Source organism: Homo sapiens, chromosome 8 (assembly GCF_000001405.40).
Source record: "Homo sapiens chromosome 8, GRCh38.p14 Primary Assembly".
Lineage (NCBI taxonomy): Eukaryota > Metazoa > Chordata > Mammalia > Primates > Hominidae > Homo > Homo sapiens.
In genome coordinates this window covers 76,702,470-76,714,707 of record NC_000008.11, presented here as the reverse complement: position 1 = coordinate 76,714,707, position 12,238 = coordinate 76,702,470, and the positions used below count along the sequence as shown (strand labels likewise).

Below are 12,238 nucleotides of genomic sequence, written 5' to 3'. Positions count from 1 at the left end.
TCACATAGTAAGTGTTCAATAAGTGCTTCTATATTTACCAGAAGTAAAAATTGAGATATCGTCTGTGTATTCTGCTAACAGAATGGTGGCCTTTGTGACTGTTATACTAATCGCCATCCTCTTGAGTTATAGAATCTGTGAAGGTGTTTCCTCACGGTTATTGGTGGCTGTGCCTCCATGCCTGTCCTTCACCTTTCAAACAAATCAAATCCTCCCATACGCTCTCCTGGAATAGGCTGATAATTTGGGGGGCAGGCAGAAAGCACCTTTTAAGGCTTGAATTTCCAGCAACATTTCCAGCAAAGTTCAGGAAGTCCAGATGTTCTGGAAGCAGAACCACGGTCATTATACACATGCCAGCTCCTCCTCACTCCACCCAGGGCCAAGACCCTTTCAGCAGTGTGAGGCCTGGTTAACATATGACTTTCACTGCATTATGGCATGGCGTCCCAACACCCACTTGAACATCTCAGCAATTTTAAACAAGCTCCAATGACGGGGACTATTACATTTAAGCCACAGAAACACACAGGGAGAGCACATTAATTATGAGAGAACACCTTTGTCTGCATTACCTAAATGACCTCAGGGTGGGTGATAAATGAGCAATTTAGCTCTTTTGATTAAATCATACCTGCACTTCACATGAAATAGAATGAACACAAGTTACACAAAAAAATGTAATGTAAATCATAAAGTAGGAGTTGACATGAATGGGGGTGCCAAATTGACTCTGTTTCTGAGGTGTGGTGTGTTGTTGTTGTGGTGGTGGTGGTGGTACGTGGCGGTGGTGGTGGTGGTCGTGTGTGTGTGTGTGTGTTCAGGAGTAAATGAAGAAAGCTCTTAAGAAGGGGCACTGCCCTACCTAACCCCAATCCCTGACATAATCACTCCACTCCACACAAACATTAGAAATTCCTCCAGATCAGGCAGTTCCTTTTTAAAAAATGCACGCTGAAAAAGACTTCTAAGTCAATTACACCTTTGGAGGCACGACTCTGCTTTTATAAAAAGGCTTCATTCCCCTTAATTAAAAGAACGCTAGTTTTCTGTGGGGAATTAGATAGGTAATCTTGCAACATGGGATATTTCCATGAAGAGAAGACCTAGGTGGGGTAAAACAGTAAGGATTTCAGGAAAACAGAAAAGAGCATAAGAGTATTTTCCTGATGTGTAGGCAGACGGTGGCGTTGGTTAAGAAAAGACATACAGAAAATAGAGTAGGTGGGTTCTAATAACACACTTTGCTTTCTTTAAATTTTGTCTGGGTTTGATAACAATTTCACACAATAAAAATCATTCTATCTATCCTGACATGGATGTAGTAAGTTGCTAATGCCTGGTCTTAGTCAATCTTCCTAGGGATTGATATCTATCTATCTGTCTATCATCTATCTATCTATCTATCTATCTATCTATCTATCTTTCTATCTATCTCTCTATCCTTTGATTGACAGATTTTTCGTCACTTTTCTTTTCTGGTATGGTACAAAGAGGGTTCTCAGCTCACAATGTAATATATTACTTGACATGTGAATGCAGTGAGAAAGTCCATATTTGTGCTGAAGTAGCCATGTTATAACACATAGCCGTGCTTCAGCAAAAGTCAAGCTTAAAAACAGAAGTAGACATAGTTGATAGGGCTGGCCAATTGCATTTGTTCTGAAAACACCAGGGATTTATTAGTTGCTATTAGCAAACCAACTCCTCTTTATTTAATCCATGTATTTATAAGTTATAAGTATTATGCAAGTATGTACTATTCTACTAGAGAAACTGTTTTTTTTCAATCTCTGCCCTGTCTATTTATATAAGAATACAATAGAATAATTTGAACTGTGATTAGTTTTTTTTTAAAACAAATCCTGCAACTGGAATTAAATTTCACACTGCATTTCAACCTTGAAATGAACATAAATCTGAAACTAATACAAAAGTGCAAAGATTTTCATATTCAGGTTAATGTTTAGTAACAGAAAAGAATAACTTTTGTTTATCTCTGAAAACAGCTTTCTTCATCTAAACAAATGACTAGAATAAGATTAAGAAAAACTTGTTTTGGTTTCTTAGATACACACACATATTCCAATTTTTTTTCACACAATGACTTTTATGTAAATGTGTACCACACAATCTCCTGACTTCCTTTACCATCACACCGGGACAATGACAGTTCAATAATTGAAATGGTACATATCTCGTATATTTGATTTTAAATTGCAAAGTTGGATTCAGGCCTATTGAAATGAAAATACCTGTGACTGTTAATTCCAAACTGATCGGGTTATTATTTCCTACTAAGAAAAAAAAAGGCACAAAAAGGTAGATGAACCTAATTATTCCATTTTTTAAATTTCCTTTACACATACTGTTCCCAATATGCCTCCTTGCATTCTCCTCTGTGGGCCTCCCCAACACCTTGATTTTAGTTCTTAACCAGGATTCTTTAATCCATAACATGGATAATGAGAAAAACCCAAAAAATGCTCCACGGGGGAATGTTACACTAAAAGTTACCTAGGACTAAATCCCAAGTGTGTTCCTTTGCTCACCATGGAGACAGGCAATTTGTTCACTGCTTTCAGTCAATTTGATATCCAAATATGAAAAAGGCATTATGGAATTCAGACAGACTACTCTGCTTCACTACTAGCAGATGCAGGAAGGAAAAAAAGAGGTAGTATAATTAAGGCTTTGACTTTGAACAAGCAAAGCTGTGAACACCTCACTTATAAATACATATAATATTAAAAGAGCAGCCGAAGTACAGATGCAGCAAGAGTATTTCTATGTCCTGCACTGAATGGTGGTTAGACCAATCAGCTGGCCAGAAAAGTCTTGGCCATACTGAGCCAAGAACAAACTAAACTGTAAATCTGAAATATTGCCAGTTTCATTTGTTCTTCCTCAATTTGAACGTGTAGTGCTCTGTGGTTTTCATTATATCTTTTTACTAGACTCTTTAGAAGAAGTTGGAGATCATTTAAGGGGTAGACAAAATTACAGTGCATTTTTGAAAAATAAAGGCTGGAAGTAAAGGAGTTTCTTTAATTTGTTCCTTAGTTGATTCGTTAATCCATCACTCATTCTACAAATATTTATTGAGAACCAATTATTTTATCAACTGACTAAAATTTGTAAAGAATAGGAACACATGAAATTAGAAGAATATAATTAAATCTAATAAATGGGTTAGCTGAAAAACTGCTGTTTTATACACACACAGACACACACATTCACTTTGCAAGATTGATTGTAGCTAGCTATATATTTTGTATTTATTAATCTCACTTTGAATACATATTCAAACATTAAAAGTAAAGATTATGGGCAATCTTCAGTTTCATCTTATTGTTTTATTTTCCTAGAGCAATTTTGTTTCATCAATCAAATTTCTGGAGGAAAAGTCCAAATTTAGTAGTGCTTAGCACTTCAGAGACTCTCACTTGAAGAAATGGGTAAGATTTTCTTAACAGTAACAAAATTGCTTTTAAAAAAATTCTATGGAAAATAATGCTGCCAAAAATGAATATAGCTTTGTTTGTTTTTGCAGTCATCATTAGCAATAGGCATAAAGGTATTCTTTTTTTTGAGTCCATATGGAAAGATCATCAACACATTCTGCCTCTGGGTTCTTTGCCAAAATACCATAACCCACAAGCCTTCTACCTTAAATATAAAAGGAAAGGTGTTGTTCTGGTTAAATAAATAAATATTTTTTACTAGCATACATCTAATGTTAAAGCTGCCTAAATCCTGCCAAATATATTAAAAACAACATCTGTAAAACAGATTTTCATTACATTGATCAGTTTCAAGTCAAGCAGCCAGGCAGATGATGCTTCTAAGCTAACCTTAACCTTTAACTTTTAACCTCCTTAACCTAGAATAAGGACACACTTTTAGGTAATGCTGCTTCAGTTTGACAATGCAAGAGGTAAAGTGGCCTATTCAAATTGAAATGACACATCACCACATTTAGTGTTATGAATCAATATGTTGTCAATAACAAGACAAGCTGTTTTCTCGCAGCTCTGTATTTGTCTTATAACTGCTACTTGTCACTTCCCCTTAATGTTTAAATAATTCATGATGCAAAATGATGTAAATTAAACTCCTAATGAAAATGAATTTTATAGAGGAGATTACTGTCTAGCCACTAACTCTGAAACTATTTTAAGTCTAATTTTAATATTTTCACCATCATTTTTTTCTAGGCTCAGGCCAAGTTGTTACGTTCTCATTTAAAAGCAATTAATATTACTTATGAACCACTTTTATTTTGCCAACACAAGCCAACCAAGCTTGCTAATATCCTCATTACTGCACTTGAAAATCCTCTATGATTCACAGTTTCTGAAATCAGTTTAGAGGTGGAATCCTCAACACAATGCTACTTGGAATATTTTTTTCAGTTACTAGTAGAAATAATGAATGTTTCTTGAAAGAAAATGCAAAAGAATAAAGTTCAATTTTCTAATACCAAGTCTCAATAGCTCAAATATTTATCTCTTCAATCTTCTATTAATTCAAGATAAGTTTGTTCAAAGTTTATTTGCTGACCATATTTAAACATTGTACTGAACAAGGATACTTAGGTATTTAAGAGATAAACAACTAAAGAAGAATAAATTTTTATATGATTTATAACATTTTTAAGGAAAGAGTACACCTTTCAGTTGTGGGATCTGAAGCTCTCTCTGCTTTAAGGCCCTCTTTATAATCATGCTTTTGTCTTAATTGGTTGTTATAAATTCAAAGACAACATCCAACTCTCCATGAAAAGGAACTTCAAGGGTAACTGTGGCACCAAGCAAATTGCCCTGAAGAGAATGAGGTGGTCAATCCCTGCTTATGGAATGAATGGATAAACTTACACACACACACACACACACACACACACACGCACACACACGCACACACACGCACACATACATTTAAATAATCATCAAGCAGTTAGATTAAATGTTTTCTGAAAAAATAAACAATAACACCCCACCTTCCTTTAGGTTCCCACAAAAGATTAAAAAATAGAAAATTTATACATTTATATCTTCCATTCACAACATGTTAATTTAAAGTGTTAGAGGAGCTGCATGAATATAAACACAGTTCATGAATATTCTATATAGCTCCCAGGGTCTAAATCTATTATTTATACAAACTTAATGTTTGTTTTTCTCTCCTAGGTATTTTAAAAGTTTTAATAGGCCAGGTATCAACAGAAAAAAGTAGACAATTGAACAGTTGTCAACTGTTGCTGCAAAACCTATGAATTATAATACAATTAATCCTTTATATTATATTTTCAATACTGTCAACTTAGAAGCTTTCCATCTCACATTAGGGCCTGCACTCCCTTCAAACTCTGTAACGTAACCCAAATCTAATGCTTTCATTATTGATCCACAGAGTGCCAATATCACAGGAAGAGTGCTACAAATTCTCACACTGAGTCGTTAGGATTTTATGCACAGTACATTTATCTAGAATTTCAACTTCAAGAAACAACCCAAACACATAGTATTAGACAAATCCAAATAAATAATTCCTTCACCTAATCTAAACGGCCTCAACCTGCTCTTTTCATGTGTGGTTATAATTTTAAATAGTGTTAGAAAAGTCGTAGGTTTGATAATCACTGGTTGACTCCTGATAGTATAGTTAACACTGATTTCTAGTACAAATCAATAGACAACACTTGCAAAATGGATTTTGTAATCATATTTAGAGCTTGTTACAATGACTAATGGTTTGCAATATTTTCTGAATTTTAATATCCTCTAGACAAAAAGAAGTTTTTAATAAGTTACCAAGTTATTCATCATAGTAATGAATGTGTTATATTTGTACATGAACCAAGACAATCAAGACAATCCAGTGAACAAACTGCAGAAAATATATTAATCAGTAATTAGGGTTTAGAAAAAGTCAAGACAAGTTCTGTAATAAATGGTGTTCATCACTTGCACGTATTCAGTACATGTGCACAGTCTTCCAAGTAAAGATAAAAGTATATTTGCCATTGTATAAAGCATTGTATAAATAAGCATATTTATCTATACCACACCCATTTAGGAGGAAAATATTGATAGGAAGACAGTCATACAAAATAACAACAGAATTTACTTTTAGAGACTTCCAAGGATGCTAAGGGAGAGTGTGTTTACTCAGTGCTACTGAGCACACACAAGAAAACAAAGAAACAAACATTATGTTTGGAGCGTCATTGTTTGTCACCAAACAAAATATTATGCATTCACAAGGTTAGGCACTGATTTTGTCTTCTGCTCCCTGTAACCATTTACATTTAGCCAAGAGTGGTGCTAGGTTCAAAAAAAAAAAAAATCAATAGGTTTAAAAAGTATTATTTTATATATAACACTATCCCCCAAATTCTTTTATTTTGGGGAAGCCAGTGAAGAAATAAATGCCACTGAGACAGGTGTAAGTGAGACATAGGGTAAAACTTTATAAATAAAGCCTTCAATTCCATATATTTCAATATGTTTTTATAATGTTAATCAGAAACTGTGCCCCCTGCCCTTTGATGTTTTTTCTCTTTTTTTTTCCTTAAGTTGGAGACTTGTGCTCCAAGCTCTGAAAGAGTTAATTCCCTTTTCTACTCTGTGCCAACGGAAATGGATGTCACTGCTTACCTTGTAGAGCTTCAGGGCCGCCTCGTGCCTGTGATTGGTGGTATGCAAGCGTAATTTATCCACACTGTTGGTGTAATAGTCACAGGCGTTACATTTTAGGTGAACAGGGTTGCCAATGGCAATACACTTCAACCTCCACTCATTGCTTTTGCCCCCTTCTTTAATGTGAGCCACCAGTTGATATTTCTGCATATGTTTATCAGTCTTGCAGTGTAGCTGGAAGTTGGCTTTGAGCTGAGTGTTGTAGTTGCAGAGCTTGCACTGGTAGATATCTCCAATTACTGCCCTCCATTCCTCTTCAGGGAGAGAGCGCTCACTGCTCACATGCACACTTAGGGCCTCCAGGCTGTCAGAGGTGAATTTGTTGCAAACAGCACACTGGAATAGCTTCAGCGCTGGGTCACTGATATAAGGTGACAGCTCTCCTGCAGTAAGGAGGGACAGGTCATCACCCATTAGCTGACCACTGGCAAGCCGGATTTCAGGCGGCAGCTCATTATTTACTACAGGAAAAAAAAATTAAAAGGAAAAATAGAGACTAGAAAACACAGCACACACAAAGGAATCTGTAAAATAAAGTCTTGACAAGGAATGTGCTTTCTCTAGAGCTTAAACTATAAAAAGCTGTAATAGGATTCAATCAGGATCAATTACAATCATCCCTTTCAACTTCTAAATTCCCTCATCAGATAGCTTTAATTACTCCTACTGGGCATGATGTCATTCTGAAATTTGTATTTTCGAGGGCAAGAAAGTTGATCAATACCATAACAAAACAGTCACGTGCTTTCAATTTAAGAGCCTAGATAAACTTACATAAGCACTAATTGTTATTTCCCAATTTGTCTTAAAGCTTGATGAGATTTGGCTAATATTGTATGCGTGCCTGTAATCTACTGCCAAATACCTGGGATAAGGTAATGGTATTATTGTTAGATTAATTATCTTGGATCACAGCCATTAAAATATTTCTTAAATATATTTAATTCAAAATAATGCTATACCCTTTTAAAGCTCGTTTGATATGTTAGCGAATAATCACCAAAATTGAAACTATAAACCTTGTAAGGTATGGCTAATGATGGCAGGCAATTAATGCAAATTAGCTTTTGTTAATCAACTTACTGAATGAAGACAAAGTTTGCTAACTTCGCTGATGCCGCCATTGATCCCTTAACTCTTTCTTCTCTGAAGTTAATTTCGCTTTGAAGCAGAAGAGCAAATGGTTTGATTATCCAGCTTAAAGAGAAAGTCCTTTCTAGTAAGCTGTCCTCAATTTGTTGGCACTCACCATTTTATCTGGGTGCATCACGCCAAATCAAAATGTGATTAGAAACTAACAACAGTGCAGAAAAGCAGGAAATACTAACCGAGCCCTGGTGCCAAAGCCGCTGCTGTCGCTGGATCCAGCTGGAATGGATTGATCATCAGCTGAGGGTCGGCAGGGTTTTCCAGCTTCATTCCGGTCAGGCCTATGTTCTGGGCTAGGTAGTACTGATAAAGCTCTGCTTCCGCCGGGGCGAGGCCCAAGTGCAGATTATGCTGGATCTGCTTCATGTTCTGCTGCAAAAGCATCATATTATGCATGTGCTTTTCGCTGGTCATATGAATTCGGAGGTTCCTGGCGACATTGGTTTCATAATCACAAACTTCACACCGCCAGGTGGGTTTCTGTTTGGGTTTGGACGGAGAGGGTGTTCCGCAGCCACTGAGGCTGGTGTTGGGGGCTGGGGCAGAGTGGCCAAACACCTGCTCACCATTGCCATTTTGGAGATTCTGAACATTGTTCAGGTGCTTGTCCGACTGCATATGAATACTGAGGTTGCCTTTGGTAGTGGTAGAGTAGTTACAAACCTCACAACGGAAGGGTTTATAGCCACACGTGTAACTCTCACCCCGGGCAAGCCTGGGGTGAGGCTGTCCAGTCTTACAATAAACACAAGAGCCACCCGGCTCAGGGTGTTTCTCCTTCATATGGGCCTCCAGGGTCTGCTGATATTTGTAGTGCCAGTTACATTTAGGACATTTGAGGGTTTTGCATGAGTTCCTCGAGTGCATCATAGTCATATGACCACCAAGAGACCTCGAAGACCCCAACACAGTGTCGCACTTTGGACACTCGATGCCACTGCCCGGTGAGCCGTCTCCTCCAGGCCCTGGTGTGCCAGGAGTACTCGGGGTAAAGCCATGCTGGTGAGGAGTGGCTGAACTGTCTTCGTCTCCCCGGGCTATTTCACTTGGATGAGCAGCTGTGGCACTGTCTTTACTGGCACTTGCGTCTGCAAAGTCCTTGCCACTGATGCCATAGTTACTAGCAACACTGCCACTGGCCCTAACAGCAGCAGTCTGTTTTTTCTTTTCTGTGTCATCAGAAACAGTCGCCGAGGAGGACGAGGTACCCTTTTCAATAAATTTTAGCACACTGGATGATAAAGGAGAAATGCTTTGGTTTAAGAGAGGGAAATCTTTGTTACCAATACTATCGGTGAGTTCACCTAATACTTCCTCGTCATCAAGTTCATTGGAGTACGCATCTTCTTCATCCTCATCTCCCGGTTCAGTGGGTTCACTTTTGACAGGGCACTCCCCGTTTGGGTGTAAAACGTTGCTTTCTTTTGGCCTTTCACAGTTGTTCTCTTGGTCTTTGCTCTCTGACATCTTGCTAGACTCAGACGATGAGTGGCTGAGGGAGACAGAGGTAATTGGGGTGTTCACTACTAAACTAGACAGCCCCCCCAGATTCACTTCAGCCTTTGGCATTTGGGTAATCCCCAGCGGCTGCTCTGCTGAGCTCGAGGTGCTCGCGCTTCCTTTTAAGAAGGCAAAGCCAGCCGGCAAAGAGTCACCATTTTCAACATGAAAAGCGCTCCATAAACCGCGGAAGGTTGGATCGGGTCCTATGAGGTTTGTAGTAGAAAAATGGGGATAAACAGAAGTGGATTTTTTTGGTTCCAGAAAGCTTATAAGAGGTTCTTTGTCTTTGCCAATCCCCTGTATTATGGCGGAGACGCATTTATTACTGAGGAGCTTCTGCTCCTCGTCATTGAGGGTCATCCGATGATCATGCACAGCATGGGTTACAAATGACCTGATATAACCAAAAGACAACTTGCACAAGAAACACATTAAAACAGGTTTCCTTTTCCCATCGCTAACACAACCATCGAATTTGGACAAGTCCACATTGTTAGGGACATCTTTGGACACACAGGAGTTTTTGGCTGAGCCATCACTGGTTAGATAGTCTTTCTCTCTCTTGTGTCGGAGATCATAGACACGGAAACTGTGCAACACAGGACCAACTCCTGCTAATGCTGAGGTATTTGGGAAAGCCTGATCGGCTGTAAATGGTTTCCCGAGGGATGAAGCGATATGAAAAGTGTTGATGATCTGTGGGTAGAACGACATAGGTGCAGAAGCAGACTGATCACTCTTCTCTCCAGCAGATGCCAGGGAGTCCAGGAACATCGCTGTAGAAAAGAGTTTGCTATTTGCCCCAGTCTGTGCATTCTGCCCACTTTCTTTGGAGTCCTCAATTATATATGCTGACCCATCAGGCTGGTAAACGATCTCCCCTGTTAGATTTTCCACGTCACTGTCCTCTAACTCGCTGATCTCGCTCTCGTTGTCATCCTTCAGGACAGGAAGGCGGGCATTAGGGCAGTGGTGTTCCATGTATTTCTGTAAACTGGGAAAAGAAGTGGCACATTCGTTGCAGGGTATCTCCTTTGCTGAGGTAACCTGAGTGGCAGCTGCATTCTCAACGCTGAAACCCAGCAAGGCTTCACTTTTGCGCTCATCCGTTTTCAGGTTGTCATCTGTGGAGCTGTTTTCCCTGTCAGGCTCCATCCCTGCAACTTTCTCTGGCACCTCATTATCAAGTTGTGTCGTTCCACATAGCTTTGATGTGCTCTGCCCATTTTCCTGCCTTGAGATAGGAGGGGAGTCACAGGTTTCCATGGCAATTGCTACATGGGGATCTCATTTCATCCAGCCTGTCAGGGACCTGGATAAAAAATAAGGTGAGAGAAGCCATTTTTATTAAATAATGACACAGCTCACTAATAGCCCATCACTAATTTACAGCTGCTGTAAACGTGACTATCTAAAAAGGTAAGGGGAAAAACTTAAAACCGGCGTGCCTATCTATCACAGACGGACTTTGTATAAATGTAGCAAAATAATGTAGATAGCTATCACAGGCATGCCTAGACATCCAAGGTGTTTTCATAGTCGCTATGAGCATTCATAAGAAGTCTAAAATTTATATCAATAATCCTGAGTTTTTTCATTCCTGTTTTCCAAAAAAATACACAATATACGTGACCACTCTAAAACCCCCTTTGCAGTAATAGGAATGTAAATAGCTTTTGTATACAGCAGCTGGAATGAAAGAACAACAGAAATAACTTATAATTCTAAAAATTTACCTTTTCTTTATCAGGCAGTGACTAGAAGGGGAGATGAGTGTGGGAGGGAGACCAACAAATAAAGAAACCTTAAAATTAGAAATATTACAGCCACAGGCAGCACCGACCAAACTTCTCTGGTTTTCATTTTGCCAGTAAATCAGCTTACTACAAATCTTCCTTGTGCAAAAGCTCTCAGCAGGTATCTGGCTGGCCCTGATTAAGCACCAATCACAATTCCTCCCCACACTTCAGTCACCTCAATGGGCAACAGAACAGAAATTAATATTTACTGCAACCAGTCCTATCATCCTAGGGGACAATCACATTCACTTAGTTTTTTTCACTGCAATGCGTAATGAACACCATTTCAAATACCATTTTGATGTTACCAATCCTGGTGAGTTGCCCATCTCTCAACCACTGCCTCAATCGACATCTCCCCTGGCTTAACAAATCACACACAAGCACTCCCAATGAAAATCCTTCATTTTTTTTAAAGTTTTTTTGCAAGCAGGCGTCTTAGACCAGAAACCCTATTTGTTGAGGACAAGATGCACTCCATAAAAGCCATATCAGTTTCTGACAGCAGGGTAAAGTACTAGTGAAAGTTGGGCATACACTGGTAAAAAGTCTCATTCTCTTCGTTTGTGTGTGTGTGTGTGTGTGTGTGTGTCTTGCCTGAGAACCTCAGCTACTGTAATAGCAGTTTGATTACAGCTTAAGCTTCTCTGAGTCCCTGCAGATCTCTCAGTTTGCAGAATGATGGCACTGTACACAACAATGGAGTGGTCTGAAACTTGTGTTTATTTTCGGCCTGTAACATAGGCACTGTCTTGATTTCATGAAACAGGTAAGCAACCTTATTTCAAATCTTAAATTTGAAGAGTCTCATAACTTCAAGGCCAGCACCTTAATTTAAAAGTATCAACACTTTCACATATCCTGACAATTTCTAAAACAAGAAAGATTAATGTTGCTATATTACATTGCATATCATATTGGTTATGATAAATATGTACTATCTCAGCCTGGATGCTCCTCCCATCCCTATACCTTATTACACAGTCTTCAGAGTGGCAGAGAACTAGAAGAAAACAAAACAGAATATTGGGTTCACTAATATTACTAAGCATTTTAGAAATCCCTTTTAAAATGTTCTTATACAAG

At 38.5% G+C, this 12,238-nt stretch overlaps 1 protein-coding gene across 2 annotated transcripts in view; it reads right to left on the bottom strand.

Annotated features, from left to right (window-relative positions):
- ZFHX4 (zinc finger homeobox 4) overlaps positions 1–12,238 on the bottom strand; it is a 186,035-nt gene that overhangs the window by 152,574 nt on the left and 21,223 nt on the right. Inside the window, exons 2-3 of one of the 2 annotated variants that reach the window (NM_024721.5) lie at positions 8,030–10,665; positions 6,660–7,162 (exon numbers count right to left, since the gene is read on the bottom strand). In NM_024721.5, the coding sequence (NP_078997.4) occupies positions 6,660–7,162; positions 8,030–10,619 (3,093 nt within the window). In that variant the 5' untranslated portion in view covers positions 10,620–10,665. The remainder of the gene's footprint in view (positions 1–6,659; positions 7,163–8,029; positions 10,666–12,238) is intronic. The other variant, NM_001410934.1, reaches the window with a different exon arrangement.